This window comes from Homo sapiens, chromosome 22 (genome assembly GCF_000001405.40).
Source record: "Homo sapiens chromosome 22, GRCh38.p14 Primary Assembly".
NCBI lineage: Eukaryota > Metazoa > Chordata > Mammalia > Primates > Hominidae > Homo > Homo sapiens.
The window spans coordinates 47196281-47214363 of NC_000022.11; the positions used below are offsets into that span (position 1 = coordinate 47196281).

An 18083-nucleotide genomic window follows, 5' to 3' on the forward strand; every position below is an offset into this window, starting at 1 on the left:
TGGACAGGCTGGGCTGCCCTCTCAGTGTCTGGGTGGAAGGAAGGAGGCTCACCAAGGCCTGGGGCTGGGCTGATCCTGCCAGGTTAACCTTGCTGGTTCCATATCCCTCTGTACCTCTGCCAGGAAGTGCCTTCCTTCTCCCCTGGCATCCAGGGACCTTGTGAAGAAGGAAGGAGCCCTCCATTAAGGTAGAACCTGAGGGTGTGTTGAGCCCTGACCTGCATAGCTCCCTGCTGTGGGTGTGCAGACATGTATATGTATGCATGTGTGCATGTATATGTGTGACGTGTGTGCATATGTGTATGGTATGATGCGTGTGCATATGTGCATGTGTGTGTACACGTGTATGTATGCATGGGTACATGTGCATATGTGTGGATGTGCATTGATGCATGTGTGCATGCATGCATATGTGTATTGTGTGTGCATTGGTGTGTGTATGTGTATGTATGCATGGGTATATGTCCATGTGTGTATGGATGTGCATTGATGCATGTGTGCATGCATGTGCATATTGGGTATGTGTGTGTGTGTATATGTGTATGTATGCATGGGTATATGTGTGTATGTATGTGTATGTGTATGTATGCATGGGTATATGTGCGTGTGTGCAGACGTGCATTGATGCATGTGTGCATGCATGCATGTGCGTATTGGTGTTTGCATGTGTGTGGATGCCTTCTCTGGGAACCTGGAGAATGAGGCCTGGGAGCAGGACAGAGCCTGAGGACTGGCAGCCCGAGACATCCCCAGACCCGTCCCTGTGCACAGCTTCTCAGTGGAGAGGGCTGCAGCTTCTTGAGGCAAACCTCACTCCAGTTTCTGGGGCAGCCAGACACAGGGGACTGGGGCAGGAGCAGCCTCTCTGGGCACCAGAGCGATGTTCCATCAAGGCTGGAAGTGAACCACGTGCTGCATCCAGCCCCAGCTACCCCCTCAGTCCCCACGCACCCTTTGGGGTGCTCTTGGTGCCCTTGGTCATGCAGATCTGACCGGGGGGCATGGTGCCCGGGGTGGGGGGCATCTTTGCTAGCCTGGAACACATCCGCATGTGCTGGCTGTGAGCAGGGTCCCCTCCCACGTGGGCAGCGCCTGGCAAGGCTTTGGGTGTTGGAGCCTCTCGGTGGGGCTGCTCCGCCCCTGCATCCGGGATCCTGCTCCTGCCTGGGCCGCCCCCGCCCTGTGGGTGCCGGGACACAGAGCCCCTCTCTGCGGCTCACTGCTAATGGCTATTTCTCCAGTGTGGCTTTGGTCACAGAGTTTTTGCTGACATGCAGGATTTCTGGCAGGGCTGGGCAACGCTCCTAGTGATCCTACCTGAGGTCATTAATTTAAACAACCTGAGCCGGCTTCATCAGAGAGGGGTTTTTGCAATAACATTAACAAACCATAAATATCTGCCGGCCGCAGAGAAGGCAGCGGCTGCGTCCCACCTTCCCAGCGGGAGGGGCTGGCTGGGCTGAGCACCATATTTCTTGGCTGTTGGTGCAGTGGGGGGAGGCGCTGTCTTTCCACCGAGGTCCAGGTGCTGCTGAAATGACACAGATTCAGGCAGCCACTGTCGAGCGAGGGCCTCACAGCCCTGCTCTTCTGCCTGTTGTTCTGGGATGGTTAGGCTTTTGCCTGGAAGCTCTGTGTTCCCAGGGCCCCGGGGCTTGGCTCCACTTTGGCAAATGTCTGCTGATGGATGTGAGGTGAGAGCCGCGTTCCATGGACTGAGACCCGTTATGGGGCCCTGAGAGCTGCGGGACCCTAAGCCCAGGCCTGAGTTTCCAGGAGGATGTCTCCAGGGCACACACTCTCTACTCTACCTGGTTCTCCCGGAGCCTGCTGGCCTCCTTCCCGAGGGGAAACAGGCCCCAGCCTTACCTGGTGGGTAGGGCCATCGCCAGTCCCCAGGTAGCTCACACCTGGATGTGGCTCTGCCTGCTTGCTCCTGGGGCGCCCTTCCTGGTGTGTGATGCAGGGAGGCTGTGCCAGCGAGGAGGCCAGGGCTGGGAGGGCGGCACAGCACCATGTGCTCTCACGAATGGCATCATCCGTCTTCCTCTGGACCTGGGAGTACGGCGGGCGGGGACTGGAGTGTCCCTTTCTCACACCCCAGGGGCCTGCACGAGGTGCTAAGTGGAGAGTTACACTGTCCACTTGGTGGGGGCCGCGTGCTGAGGGTGCTGGGGACATTAACAAACGTTCTCCAAGTACGCAGTAATTGGAGTGTAGTGAAATTGTAAATTATGACAGACGAAGATGACAATAAAATCATGATTTCTGCCCTTTCTGGAAGGGCCGCTCACTTCACGGTGCTTTAATGCACTTGCCTTATATCTCTGCCTGTTGGAAGTTGGTGACAATTCGCATTTGGCTCAGCGGATGATTCCTTTTGGGAAAAAAACATACAGTAAATTGGCCCTTATGTGTGGAAAGCAGCCTGAAGAACTTTACTCTGGAAGTGTAGATCCAGGAGCTGTTGCCTTGCAGTGGCGCAGCCCCGCCGCCCTCATGCCTTTCGGAAGGTGCAGGGCTGCTCAGCTCACCCCACTTCAGCTCGGGGTCCACCCACGGCCCCTGTGGAAGGAGGGGCTCCAAGGGCTGGTGCATGGGCCTTTCAGACTGTGGTGACTCGCGGGCCCCTTGTGCCCATGAGGCTTCAGGAGGTCATATGCGTCTTGGCAATGGCTTGGTCCTGAGTCAGGGGACTCCGGGCTCCTCCGTGGACGCCAGTGCCGTGGTCACTGTTGTCAGGACCCCTCCCGTGTCCCCCTTCCTGGCCCTCCATGCTCAGGGGTCTCACCCGGGCCCAAACCGTGGTCCTCGCATGGCTGGACCCCCGCCCGGTCTTCCTCACCGTCTCCCTGGATGGTTTCAATCCTACTCACTGCGTGACTTTGGGCAGCAGACTTAATTAACCTCTCCATGCCTCAGTTTCTCCACCCGCAGAATGTGAGTTATGCAGAAAGGGCTTCCCGTAGCCCCTGGGCCTGAGAGCCCGCTGTAGTCTGACTCCTGGTGGCGGTGTGAATGCAGCCTCACGCACGTTCTTCAGCATAACTGGGAAAGGCTCGCCTAGCGTGTCCTACCAGCCCCACCCTTGCACCAGAGGAAACTCGCAATCCTCCCGTGCTATCCCCAGCCACGCCCGCGCCCTCCCTCTGGCCACGCCGGCCCTCCTGTCCCTGGAGCCTCTGCACTAGCACTTCCCTGGCTGGAATGTTCTGTCCCCAGACGTCAGCGGGTGGAGGGGTCCTCCTGGTCATTCAGGCTCAGCTTGGACCACCCTGAGCCCCACCCTGAAGTGGTCCTCCCCCCGTCACTGTGGATGCATCACCCTGATCTTGCCCCCAGCACTTTTCGATCCTGGAAAGTGTTTGATTCCATCCGATTGTTGGTGCGTCTGCTGAATCTGCACCCACACCACCCGCCGGCCCTGCCCCCGGCCCTCACCCCGCTGATCTCGCGCTGTTCAGGGCTCTGTGTCTCCCTGAAGGCAGGAGCCCAGTGCGGGCACAGGAGGCTGCTCGACCCCAACAACTGCTGGCCCTGCCCCTGGGCATCATCACAGCCCCACCTGGGGGCCTCCGTGAGAACGCCGCCCAGCTGTCTAGACACTGTCGCTCATATCTGGAAATAACCCGTGGAATGCAATTGATTAACCTGCTCACACCCACCGGGACCACCTCACTGATGGACACCCTGTATCCAGTCACCGACTTTTTTATTCCACGTGAACTGTGTGTGCCCAGCCGTGGGCTCAGATTTCTTCTCTAGGTGTTGACACCCCTGAGGGCAGGGACCACATGTCTGCGCCGTCCACTGTTGATCCCCAATAGCTTGATGTAAACGGCCCTGTCTCCCACGAGAGAAATTTGAGGAGCAAAATACAGACCCAGGATATTAGAGGGAAATATTGCAGGTGTGTTTTGACCCGTGGATTCTCTACAGCGGGGAGGTTTCCTCTTATCTGGGAAACTGCCAAGAAGCACCGTGGTATCACAGGCAGCTTTCCTTGGCCTCTGCTCCCATCCGCCCTCGGACAGGGAGTACATTAACATCTGCAAAGACAGTGCTTCCTGCGTGCCGTGGATCACACACTCAAAGTCGGAGGGCGTGGAGTTCAAGGCTGCTCAGCAGCTGGGATGAAACACGTGGATGTGGTCCAGGCATCCCCAGCAGTGACCTGGTCTCCACCCAAGGCCAGGAAATGTGTGGAGGCTCTTCCCTGCTTCAAAGCAGGAAGAATGCAGGGCTTTGGAAAGAGACATGAAGGGGCCAGCAGGAGGAAGCACAAACGCAGAGAGCTGAGGGGCTGGCTTTGCTCCTCAGTAAGCGGAGGGCTCGGGCCAGCAGATGTGGGACGGCTCTCCAGAATGGCCATGCGGCGCAGCTGTTATGGGATCCTTGGGCTGTCACTTTTCTGGCCAGAAACCTCCATGGCCAGTGGCACCTTTGTCCAGTTTTGATTGGGTCTGGGCTTGTGCTGCCCACTCGGCCTGGCAGGCTGTACTCAGCTCACGCTACCGGTCTGGATCCCACGCCTGCCAAGGGCAAGTCAGGTACGGAGCAGTGAGGGGTGTGTGAGTGAGCGTGGGGTCCGGCCACTGCACAGTTAGACATGCCGGTGGCTGCAGCGGGGCGGGGAGCTCCAGGTTCTGGCATGGGTGCCGGCTCTCTGTGAAGCTGCGGCTGGACACACAGCTTCCACAGCTGGCACTGGGGAACATGGTGGTGCCTGGAAGCTTGGAGATGCCAGGAACTGCAGGACCCCAAACAGGGTGTCACAGCCCTGGCTCAGGGAGCTCCCAGGTCTGGGATTCTGGAAGGGGCACAGCTCTTCTCACCCTCTCTTTGCCGTCAACGTGGTGAGCAAGGGGCGTGTCTCAGCCCTGTTTGTGTTATGGCTCTTTTAGCCTTGCCATTTGGTGGGTCCCGAGTTCTTGTCCTGCGACCAGGAAGAATGGGGTATACCTAGACAAGTGGAAGGTGAGCAAGATGAAAAGGAGCTTCATTGAGCAATAGAACAGCTCAGAGAAGACCCACAGGGGGCAGGTCCTTTCCACAGCCGGGGTGTCCCGACAAATGTTCAGCTATCTGCAGAGAGGGTAGCTCCTCTCTGCAGCTGGTCGTCTTGTCGTCTTTTCTGCTCTGGCTGAGCTCAGGGTTTTTATGGATCTCAGAGGAGAGGAAGTACATGCCAATTGGTCCATGGGTGGCCATGGATGGGCCCAGAAAAGGCACCACAAGTTCCGACTCTGGTCCGCGGGACTGGCAGCCCAGCCCCCAGCCTTCAGGCCTTCCCTGGCCTGAAAGTGGGGACTCACCGGGGACCCGCCCCCTTCGGCCCAGAAGCCTGTCTGCCTCTTGCCACCATCCATGGTGTCCAGGCTGCTTGTGCCAAGGGGTACCTACAAGCCAGTGCCAAGCCACCCTCAGCTCCCTGCTTGGCTTCCCTCCTGCACTTGTTGGCATCCAAAGTCCACAGGGGGCCGATGTGGCAAGAAGCTGGCATTGTCAGTGCTGCCCTCAGCGTCTGCACACCCAGCCAGGCTGTGACAGCACCTGGGCTCAGCCCCAACCTTGGTCCAAGATTGGAGCAGGTGCTGGGAGCAGGGAGAGGCCAGGCAGCTGGAGCAGACACCCTGAGCCTGTGGAGGCAGGGGTACCTTCTCGGGCCCCCAAGGGTGCAGAGCACAGAGATGTCTAGATCCTGCTCCTGAAAGGGCGGGACTCCCGCCTGCTCCGTGGAACATGTGGGCAGCCCTGGCCGCACCTCCTTGCAGCCTGGTGCAGGGGCTCCAGGTCCTCGATGAGCCCAGGCTGGCATCTGGAACAGGGGTGACATTACTGCAAGTTCTTGCCATGGCCCCAGCACTCAGCCCGGGGCTCCCCCTTGCTCACTTATAGCCTTGCGCGGAGGGGATGCCCGTGGGAGTGGATCGCTGGCCCTGAGCCCGGCCATTGGGAGTGTCAGGTTTGGTGATCACCCCAGTGCAGGGTGGACCCCGGGGACTCGGCCCTGTGCACAGCATCCTCCTGAGGTACAGGAACCTGGTGCCACTGGTGGGTGGGCACAACGGCCATGCCCCTGGCCAGGTCCCCCAAAGCGGGAGCCACTCCCACTTCCTGCCCTGGGACCCCAAAGCACAGCCCCAGCTTTGTGCCCTTGGCCTGGCCCCCATGCTCCACGTGCAAGTGCAGCATCACCCCGGGGCCAGCTCTGCCTTGGGGACCCTCTGTGCCCGCCCCTCCATGCCTGGCCACACTGCTACCCTGCTGGCAGGCAACTAGGCCTGGCCCCATTACGGTGGCCCCCAGGGTGGTGGGTGAGAGCGATGATGTGGGGCCAGGGTTGGGAGTGGCGGAGGCTCTGGGCCTGGGGGTGGGTCCTTCCCAGCCGTGTGAGGGTAGGGGTGGTGCAGTCAGCTGCCTTGGGGATGCAGTGCACAGGGAACATGCGGCACAGGGGTCTCACCGCTGCCACCGCTGCTCCCACCGCTGCTCCCACCGCTGCCACTGCTGCTCCTGCAGCCACTCCTGCTGCCATCGCTTGCCCCTTCCCGCTACAGCTGGCTGCTCCGTATGGCCCACCACTGCCATCACAGGCCTCCAGGACAGCCACACAGTGCAGGCCTCTAGAACAGCATTGCAGTGCAGCTGTGATGAGCAGCGTGACAGTAGTGAGATGGTCCCGGGGGTAGGCGTCCCGGTCAGCCAGGCTCAGGTTTTGGAGACCTGCGGTAAATACCCTGGAGACAGGGACCTCCAGTTAGCAAGGCAGGAACTTCAGGAACTCGTGCCCTTAACGCCCCAAAAGGGGGCCAATGAGCTGACTCCCTTTACCCACAGCCTCCAGCGTGGGGGCCGTGCTTGGTTGTTATTTGGGAAGCTGGGGAATGGCTTTCTTTCATGAAAATGCTCCCAAGAAGGGCTGCAGTGGTAGGGCCTGATTCTAATGAACTGCATGAAGTTCACATCGGAGTTTCTGGGTGCCACATGCAGGGTTCTGGCAGGGGTAGCAACATCCATACACTGTGTCTGATTTCAGGGTAGATGTTTGGGACTGGCAGGGAAGGCAGCTGGCACCCTCTTCCCTTCATTTCCCTGCTCATGGCCCACAGATGTCCGTATGGGGTCCTGTCTCAAGGCGGACACAGCCCAGCATCCTTGGAAGACTCTCATCCTGGTGCTGATAAAAGCCATGAAACCGTGGAGGACAGAGCTGGGGGAGCCTCTTACATGAAACATGTGGAAGGTGTCAGCCTGCAGGCCCCTAGCATTTGCCAGGCCAGCATCTGCGTGAACCCCCGGAATGACAGTGAAGAGAGAAACCTGTTTCCCTGGAAGGAGAGGCCCATTTGGTGACCTTGAGATGCTGCCTTTTGGCCATGGCAGATGGGACTTAGGCAAGGCCTGGTTGGGCAGCCGTCCACGGGTGCATCCCTGTCTCCATGGTAGTGAGGCAGCTGCTGTGTCCCCAGGGCCAGCAACAATGAACGTGCTCCTCAGCCCACCTGTGTACTCAGGGGTCTCCACCTTGCCCTGAATTGGCTCCACTCCAGCAAGGCCGGCCCCTTCCCTCCCGCACAGAAGCCTGTCTCTTCTCACCTAGTGACAAGGATGCCCTCGTTGCCCGTGCTGGAGTGGCCTCCTCGGAGTCCTCCTCTGAAGAAGCTTTGCCCTTGGTGGGCTGAACCTGTTTCAGCAAAGACCCCCCTAAGCCCACTTATGAAGAATCTACACACTCTGAAATCAGATGAAGTCCCTTATCCCCCAGCCTTGATATCTGGTGAGGTCAGCTCCTCACTCTGCACGCTCCCGTCTCCCCGCTCCGCTTGCTGGCTGTGTGCCCCGACGGCATTGCTCTAGTGGGAGTTGAGCTCAGCTCTGTGCACGAGTCTCCCCTACAGCAGGAGCTGGAGTGGCATCCGCCTTGCTGTCTTTAACAAGCGTCCAGCGAATCATTTTTCTTTGGCATTATTCCGGGACTCCTTTCCAGCTGTGGTCCCCCTCTCTGTCCTGCATCAGGAATATTTCTTCCTCTCCTGGGCCACTCCCATCAGCATCCAAACAGGCCGCCTCACCAGTTTCCACCCCATTCTATCCCGTGTCTCTGCTTCCCTTCACAATAGTGGCCCACTGGCCATCCTGCCACTTCTCAGCCACACCTGACCCTCCGGTCCCGGCCTTCACTCTGCCCTCCGCCTGCGACCCTCCTCCCCACAGGCACACAGGGCTCGCCCCTTTGTCTTGTCAGCTCTTTGCCCCAGCGTTGCCTTTTTGGAGTTCCTCTGTGCTTGGCCCATCTCAGTGGACCCCAGCCTGTTCTCCCCATCCCTCCGCCCTGCAGCTTTGTCCCCTGTGTGCCCATTGCTGCCAGCCATGCTGCTTGTTTGCTCAGGGTGTTCTCCTCGGAAGTGTTGGCCCCTTTTGTTCACTGTCGTATCTCAGGGCCTGGAAGGATGCTGGACACACAGCGGGTGTTCACTGTGTGTTCTTAGACTGATGGGATTCTTTGACTTGGGAACTCGGGCTGGACACTAGAGCAGCGAGCCCTCAGGTGGCAGGTTAGATGTGGGTTTACGGAGAGAGAGCAGGTGATCGGTCAGGGTTAGATGTGGGGTGACGGAGAGAGAGCAGGTGATCTCTCAGGGTTAGATGTGGGGTGAGCTAGAGAGAGCAGGGGATCTCTCAGGGTTAGATGTGGGGTGACGGAGAGAGCAGGGGATCTCTCAGGGTTAGATGTGGGGTGACGGAGAGAGAGCAGAGGTGGAGGGAGTGGCTGGGTCCTCCTTACTAGTGGGAGCCACAGGTGAGGGATGAGGGATGCCTGCCTGGGGTGGGGTCAGAGTGTCCAGTGGGCTGGTGAACATTGCCGGGTTGTGGGGACGCTCAAAATACTTTCCTGTTCAGCCCACGGCCACCCCCAGAAGCTGAGACATCCTGACGGGGCCTCCGTTCCTGGCCACCTCCAAGCTCACACATCACGGAGCCCCCAAGCCTGGAGCAGCCCTCTCTGGTACTCGCCCCATTCGGCCCAAACACACACCCCGTTCTTTTGTTGGGCTCTCTTGAAGGCTGGGCCCCCGCCCTGTGGGTCTCCTCGCACTGCTTGGTCCTGTGTGGCAGGGCCACTTGTCCTTTCCCCTCTTCATTCCTCCCCGGCTCCCCGATGTCACCCTCCCTCCCAGGCTCCCCCATGTCACCCTCCTTCCCCAGCCTCCCTGCTGAGGCTACTTTCCCTCCCTGGGCACTTCAGGGACACTTCTGGAAGGCAGACGTGACCCTGCCTTCCCCTGATCAGGGACCCTCTGAGCTCTGCAGGGTTTTGGTGTGGGCACCTGTCTCTAATGTGCTCACAGCCCAGGTGCCCTCTCCATGGCCCATCTCTAGGCAGGGGCAGGCCTCTGCAGCAGTGTCTGCAAGGTGGTGGGCGGTGGTGCAATGGCAGGCAGGGGACGGGGAGGAGAGCATGGCTGCTGTGGTCCCCCAGGACAGCTGCGCTTAGCCCCTGGTGTGGGTTTGTGCATTCACGGGCTCCGTCCCTACCGTGGACATCATCTGGTCATGGCAGATGTGGTTTGTGCAAGCCTGGGATGGACGTGGGTGGTGTGGAAACCCAGGCTGGTGGCAGGGCCTCTCGAACTCGGCCAGGCTCTTGCACTCCACGTTGTGTGGCTTTGGACAACTTGCCAGGCCTTTTGGAGCCTCTATTTTTCCATCCGTGAAATGGGCGTATAACACCTCCCAAGGCTGGAGGCCACAGTTAAAGGAATGTGACCATCTCCTGTTGCAGGAGGATCCCTGAGTGACTCTTGGGGGGAGATGTTATAATTCGCTTGGTTTCAGTCCCTCCCTCAGAATCCTGGGAAGATACTCCAGCCTGGATATTCCAGTCCTTTTCATCATTTTCCATTATTCAATGGAATTACTGAATTATTCCATTATTTAATGGAAAATGGAGAGGTGGCAGGAAAGTGCCCTCCAGGGCGGGAGGCAGGAGGCAGGGCTTGGACTCTGGACCAGATTGAAGACTAGCTAAAACAGGGAAGAGCCTAAAGCACCTCCTATAAGACACACCCACCGGTGCCATGTCAGTTTACCATTGCCATGGCAACTCCTGGAAGTTACCACCCCTTTCCATGGCAACAGCCCAGAAGTTATCATCCTTTTCCTGGAAATTTCTGCATAAAGTGCCCCTCAATTTACATGTAATTAAAAGTGGGTATAAATATGAGTCCAGGCCAGGCACAGTGGCTCACGCCTGTAATCCCAGCACTTTGGGAAGCCAAGGCAGGCAAATCACCTTAAGGTCGGGAATTCGAGACCAGCCTGGCCAACATGGTGAAACCCCGTCTCTAGTAAAAATACAAAACTTAGCCAGGCATGGTGGTGGGCGCCTGTAATCCCAGTTACTCGGGAGGCTGAGGCAGGAGAATTGCTTGGACCTGGGAGGTGGAGGTTGCAGTGAGCCGAGATTGTGCCGCTGCACTTCAGCCTGGGTGACAGAGCAAGACTCTGTCTCACAAAAAAAAAAAAAAAAAAAAAAAAAAGTGGGTGCAGCACTGCCTTTGAACTGCCGCTCTGGGCACACTGCCCATGGGATAGCCCTGCTCTGCAAGGAGCAGCACCTCTGGTACCACTTCAATAAAGACTGCTGTCTAACACCACCAGCTCGCCCTTGAATTCTTTCCTGGGTAAAGCCAAGGACCCTCCCAGACTAAGCCCCAATTGTGGGCCTGCCTGCCCTGCATCATGGGTGTTGGACTCCGGGTGGTTTGGAAGTGCTGGTTCTAGTATCAAAGACCCACACATGGATGTAGCTCAGAATGCTTTTGTGCCCGGGAAAAAGTTTGGGGTGATGTGGTTCTGTCACCTAAAGGGTCAGTCAGCTGGGCTGGTGAGAACAATGCTCTTGGCTGGAAGTAGCAAAGAAAATTGCGAGTCACTTTCAGTTATTTTCTGCCTCTTTCATGGGCTTTTCTAGACAATTTCCTTGTTTTCTTCCCTTGAGGTCTGGTCTCATTCTTCCAGCAATGACGTGGTGGATTTAAAAAACGTCCACCATAGTCTTTTGCCATTCCTCCCTCCAAGAAACAGAGGCTAATTTCCTACTCTCTTCACACATAGAATATGGAAGAAGTGGCAGTGAGGAACTTCCCAGGCCAGGTCAGAAAAGGCACTGTGGCTTCCCCTCTGTCCTCTCTTGATCACTTGCTCTAGGGCTCCTGCTGCTGTGGTGTGGGACCTTCGAGCAGCCTGTGGAAGTCATCCTGTGAGGAACTGTGGCCTCCCCCAAGCAGCGCATATTGGAGGCAGAGGCTTCAGCCCCAGTCAAACCCTCAGATGATGGCAGCCCCAGCCAACGTCATGACGCAGCCTCTGGAGAGACCCTGAGCCAGGGCCACCCACCCGAACTTACCCTGGATCCTGACCCACAGAAACTGCAAGTCGATAAAGGTTTGCTGTTGTTTTAAACTGCTAAATTTTGGAGTACTTTGTTATGCAGCAGGAGATAACTGACACAAATACTAAGAGTTGAGAACTTTTATTAAGCCTTTTCTTTGTGCCAGGCACTGGGCTAAATGCATCAAAAGGATCTCACCATCTTCCCAGCAGCCCACAGGGAGCAGAGGTTTTCATTACCATCATTCTCAGAGGACACGACTGGGGCTCAGAGAGGGGAAGAAACCTCTCCAGCTTGCACAGCTGGTAAGTAGTGGGGCTGGCGTTTGAACCCAGGTCTGCCTAATTTCAGAGCACTTGTTTGCGTCCAGCACGTGATCCCACCTGTGGTGTGATTCTGTGCCTAGCCGTTCCCCACCCCCTTCCTCCAAACATAGGGCTGCTTTCCTGTCCCAGGTGCAGCAGGTAAACCCCTTCGCACCAGGTGTCAGCGATGGCTGCAGACTGGGGACTCCCCCATTGGCGCTCCGTGCAGGCTGGCCTCGTGAGGAAAAAGTTACCAAGTTTGGGGCCAGAAGATTTGATCATGAGCCCCAGCTGTCAGTCAATGGTTACTGATCCCAAGCTTGCTGGGCTTCAGTTTTACCATCTCTGAGCTGAGAAGGATGTTCAGGGCTGGGTCTCCTTGCAGGGTGGCTCTGAGTGCTCCCTGCAGAGAGAAGGACCGTGGCTGCCTGGGACGGAGAGGGGCTCAACCAGCTGGGAGTCTTCAGTGCTGGGCCTAGGGCCACCTTATCTTCATCTCCCAAATGCCACTTTCAAAACAGAGTCATTCCCCAAATGGATGAGACCCCAGCACAGGAGAAATGCATGACAGCCAGATAATAAACCTGCATATCAGAACTGTCAGATCGTCTTCAGAGCAAAAGGCAACATGCTCTCCCGAGGTAAGATCCTAACTGTTGTCAGGAACATATGCCAGGGGTGGGGGGTGGGGAGCGGCTCAGGACGCGGCGCTGGCAGCCCCCAGCCCATCAAATTCACTCCATCTATCTCGGGCTGGGCCGTTTCATCTTGAAAGTCGCAGAGCTTAAGCATTTATCAGCAAAGCACCTGCTTCTGTTTGTTCTGCGTGATTTAGTGTATTTATCGCTGTGCTTTTGAAATGCCTCTTTGGTCTATCTCTGAGATTTTCCCCCTGGACTCCCCGTTAAATTAATCAGATTCTGCTCCCCTCCAGTCCTACCTCTGCCTGCTGGCACTCCGAGGGTGGGTCATTAAATGGCCGTGCATTTTGTTTTTTTTTTTCCTCCTGGCGAGGGAGGTGTTTGTTGAGGGGCGGTGGGGAGGGGGTCCCTGGGGATGGTCGCTCTGTGGGCTTCCCCAGTGCAGGCCGCACAGTGAGCAGAGGCGTTTCCTGTGATGAAGCTGGACAGGCCCCTTATGCGTCATCTCGCCTGTTTACATGGCCTCAGCGTTTCCCACATTTTCTCTCTGGCATGCTCTGGAGCGTAGTGGCTTGGGGAGCAGGACATGGGACAAGGTGACAGAGCAGGTGGATACCGGGGTGGAAGTGCAGACCTTTGGCCCTCTGGAGGAAGAATGTGGGGCTGGGTGGGTTGGGCTGGCCAAGGACCAAGCCCGGGTGTCCCAAGTTTTGGGGACTGTGGCCATGTTCCTCCTGGCCACCAGCCAGGGGCCACACCTGCCAGCCCGAGTGGTGGTCTTCAGCCCCTTCCCCACAGGGCGGTTGCCTTTGTGGGATGGGATGCTTTAGGAAGGGAGGCTCAGAACTGTCCTCTGCCCTGGGCAGGAGAGGCCTCCTGCGCCTGCCCCACACTGTGGGCCTTACCAGAGGGGCTTATGGGGAGAAGCTGAGTGGATACTTTTATGGAGGGCTGGGGACCGAGCCCCAGAGAGGTCTCCACACTCTCCAGGGATGCACCTGCCCACAGGGGAGGGCCAGCTCCTGCCATCCAGGGCCTGGGCAGGGGCCCGAGCAGGAGCGAAGCTTATGGGGCCGTCGGTGTCTGTGGGATGAGTGGGCTTTGCTGGGCCTGAACCCAATGTCGTCAGCCAGCTGCACAGCTGCTGTGGGCACATGCCGCCCGGGAGGGTTGGTGACGATGGGTCCTGTGGGGTGGCCATCCAGGGCTTGCCTCTGTGGTGGGTCAAAGTGCGGGCCCTGTAGTGGTGGCTGCCAGGGTGTTGTCGTGTGGCTGCCGGCCCCACCTCTCCAGGAGCCATCCTCAGTCATTATTTGACATTGGGTGGGGCATGGGTGGGGCAGTTCCAGCGGGAGGTGCACAAGCAGCCCCAGCCAGGCCCACATGATGGCCACTCTCAGGTTTAATTCCTGAACCCAGAGACAAAGGCTGGAGAGTGGATCTTCCTCAGAGCCCCTTAGCTTCCACCCTGCCCTGGTGCCCCCTCATCCTTGCCCTCTTCTCCCCTGGACAGGACCCAGAGTCCTCCCATCAGTTCCCATTGCCCACAGCCAAGAAGCCCCACTGACCCCTCATTCCTCCCACACCAGCCGCGAGGGGACAGTAAAGCTTTGAGCCTAGCAGGAAAGGGACAGGCTGTGGGACCCCCATCTCGTGGACACCCTTCTTCCCTCGGCTTGGAGCGCTCTGTCTGCGCCATTTTCCCAGTGCTTTGGGAATTCAGCCGGGGCCTGCAGGCTCTGAAACATCTTACAGAGGCCCACCACTCACGGCAGCTCCGCCGCACACCCACGTCTCTCCATACTCCGAGACGGTTGCTTGTACCCATTTTGCAGATGGGCCGAATGGGCTCGGGGATGATGTCATTGCCTTGTCTCTGCCTCAGTTTACTCTGTTTGAAGAATGGAGCGCGGAGGGAGTAAATGAGTTGGGGCACAGGGAGCTCCTGGAACGATGCCTCCCCCACACAAACACTCGTGAGGGTTTGCTGCTCTTTAGTTGTGAGGATTTAATCCATTATTATTGTTATTATTTCAGCATTTGCTGTTATTTTCCAATGATGATGAAGATGATGGTGAGGAGGGGCTGGCATTTCCGGGGGAGGAGGGGCAGTCTGTCTGCCTTCACAGTGCATACTCCTCCCTGAGCTGTGCACAGCCCCTGTCCTCAAGTATCGTAAGGTTTGGGAGACACGGACCTGTGTGTAGACAATTGCGAAGGCACATCCACCCCTAACAGGGTCAGCAAGGTCCAAGTCACCTGCAGGGGCAGGGCAGGGAGGAAACAGCCACGCGAAAGTGTAGAGAACGAAGGGAAGTAAGCGCAAGCTCTAAATAAAGCCCAATTTTAACTGTTTTAGCTCCTTTTGGGACATCTCCCAGTATGTTCCCAAGACAGCAATGAAAAGGCACCCTTTCCACATTGGGACCTGGTGCCGTGCTGTTGTAAATGCTGGGACTCAAACATGTGCGTGTCCACACTGACCGTCCACACTCAAATATGCACGTGTCCACACTTAAATATGTGTGTCCACACTCAAATATGTGCGTGTCCACACTGACCGTCCACACTCAAATATGTGCCTGTCCACACTGACCGTCCACACTCAAATATGCGCGTGTCCACACTTAAATATGTGCGTGTCCACACTCAAATATGTGCGTGTCCACACTGACCGTCCACACTCAAATATGTGCATGTCCACACTGACCGTCCACACTCAAATATGCGCGTGTCCACACTTAAATATGTGCGTGTCCACACTCAAATATGTGCGTGTCCACACTGACTGTCCACACTCAAATATGTGCATGTCCACACTCAAATATGTGCGTGTCCACACTGACCGTCCACACTAAATATGTGCGTGTCCACACTGACCGTCCACACTCAAATATGCACGTGTCCACACTTAAATATGTGTGTGTCCACACTCAAATATGTGCGTGTCCACACTGACCGTCCACACTCAAATATGTGCGTGTCCACACTGACCGTCCACACTCAAATATGTGTGTGTCCACGCTGACCGTCCACACTCAAATATGCGCGTGTCCACACTTAAATATGTGCGTGTCCACACTCAAATATGTGCACGTCCACACTGACCATCCACACTCAAATATGTGCGTGTCCACACTTAAATATGTGCATGTCCACACTGACCGTCCACACTCAAATATGCGCGTGTCCACACTCAAATATGCGCGTGTCCACACTCAAATATGTGCGTGTCCACACTGACTGTCCACACTCAAATATGTGCATGTCCACACTCAAATATGTGCGTGTCCACACTGACCGTCCACACTAAATATGTGCGTGTCCACACTGACCGTCCACACTCAAATATGCACGTGTCCACACTTAAATAAGTGTGTGTCCACACTCAAATATGTGCGTGTCCACACTGACCGTCCACACTCAAATATGTGCGTGTCCACACTGACCGTCCACACTCAAATATGCGCGTGTCCACACTTAAATATGTGCATGTCCACACTCAAATATGTGCGTGTCCACACTGACTGTCCACACTAAATATGTGTGTCCACACTCATATGCGCGTGTCCACACTGACCGTCCACACTCAAATATGCGCGTGTCCACACTTAAATATGTGCGTGTCCACACTCAAATATGTGCACGTCCACACTGACCATCCACACTCAAATATGTGCGTGTCCACACTCAAATATGTGCGTGTCCACGCTGACCGTCCACACTCAAATATGTGCATGTCCACACTTAAATATGTGTGTGTCCACACTGACCGTCCACACTCAAATATGTGCATGTCCACACTTAAATATGTGCGTGTCCACACTCAAATATGCGTGTGTCCACACTGACCATCCACACTCAAATATGCGCGTGTCCACACTGACCGTCCACACTCAAATATGTGCGTGTCCACACTGACCGTCCACACTCAAATATGCGTGTGTCCACACTTAAATATGTGCGTGTCCACACTCAAATATGTGCCTGTCCACACACTGTCCACACTCAAATATGTGTGTGTCCACACTCAAATATGTGCGTGTCCACACTGAGTGCCCACACTAAATATGAGCGTGTCCACACTGACCGTCCACACTCAAACATGCGCGTGTCCACACTGACCGTCCACACTCAAACATGCGTGTGTCCACACTCAAATATGTGCGTGTCCACACTCAAATATGTGCGTCTCCACACTGACCGTCCACACTCAAATATGCGTGTGTCCACACTCAAATATGCGCGTGTCCACACTCAAATATGTGCATGTCCACACTCTGTCCACACTCAAATACGTGTGTCCACACTCAAATATGTGCGTGTCCACACTGACCGCCCACACTAAATATGAGCGTGTCCACACTGACCGTCCACACTCAAACATGCGTGTGTCCACACTGACCGTCCACACTCAAATATGCGCATGTCCACACTGACCGTCCACACTCAAACATGCGCGTGTCCACACTGACCGTCCACACTCATATATGCGCATGTCCACACTGACCGTCCACACTAAATATGCGCGTGTCCACACTGACCGTCCACACTCAAACATGTGCGTGTCCACACTGACTGTCCACACTCAAATATGCGCGTGTCCACGCTGACCGTCCACAAACATGTGCGTGTCCACGCTGACCGTCCACACTCAAATATGCGCGTGTCCACACTTAAATATGTGTGTCCACACTGACCATCCACACTCAAATATGTGCGTGTCCACACTTAAATATGTGCGTGTCCACACTCAAATATGCGCGTCCACACTGAGCATCCACACTCAAATATGCGCGTGTCCACACTGACCGTCCACACTCAAATATGTGCGTGTCCACACTCAAATATGCGCGTGTCCACACTCAAATATGTGCGTGTCCACACTGACCGTCCACACTCAAATATGTGCGTGTCCACACTGACCGTCCACACTCAAGTATGCGCGTGTCCACTGTGCCTCAGGGTCTAGAGCATTAATTTAACCCATGCAATTATTTGCAAGTATTAATGTCTCTCCTTCCCTCCAGGCTTGGGGCACAGGAACGCATCTATCTTTCCCGACCGTTGTATCCCCGGTCTGCAGCCCCGGGCCAGGGATGCTCCCGCAGCTGTTGCAGGGCTCAGACTGCCCACTAGTGGGAGCTCCAGGCCTCTCATTTCCCACGTCTCTGCCTGGCCCAGATACTTCGGTGGGTCAAATTCTTGAACTGATGTTGGACCACAGTCCTCGTAGGAACTTAAAAGGTTGCACTGTATCCAGCATATCCAGGGAATTGTATGTGAGTGGGTGTGAGCCCACATGTGCGGGGCAGACAAGGGGTGGACTGCAGGGGCTACTAACGGGCCTGTTCACTCCAGCACCCATCTTCCAGGGCGTGACTTCCCTTTGCTGACACACTTTGTGCCCCTGAGTCAGCCACATAAACACTGTGATCGGGCCGTGTGGTCCCAGCTGATTAATTGATTCTGCAGTGAGCACTTGATCCAAGCTCTGCCAGTTAGAGTCTTTCCAAGGGTGTTGGAACCGGAGCTGAGAAAAAAGAATTCAACATTGCTTTGAGTGGCTATGGAGGTGGATGCAGTGTGCTCACACTGTCTGTGGCCACATCTTGCACTGTGGATCTCAGAAGCAGAGGAAGCAGATCTACTTAGAGAGGAGAGGGGCACCCACACAGAGGCAAGATGCAGGATGGAGAGAGACGCAGAGATGTCCCTTGGCCTCTAGAAGCCCTGGTC

General features: G+C 56.2%; 2 annotated features.

Moving 5' to 3' along the window:
• Positions 16341-16842: an enhancer, noted in NCBI's record as "H3K4me1 hESC enhancer chr22:47608371-47608872 (GRCh37/hg19 assembly coordinates)". NCBI's record gives its function as "activates a minimal SCP1, AML or CMV promoter by ChIP-STARR-seq in naive H9 embryonic stem cells {active_cell/tissue: H9 hESC(naive)}" and the evidence as "EXISTENCE:reporter gene assay evidence [ECO:0000049][PMID:30033119]".
• Positions 17448-17567: a silencer, noted in NCBI's record as "silent region_13919". NCBI's record gives its function as "represses an Ori minimal core promoter by ATAC-STARR-seq in GM12878 lymphoblastoid cells {active_cell/tissue: GM12878}" and the evidence as "EXISTENCE:reporter gene assay evidence [ECO:0000049][PMID:35858748]".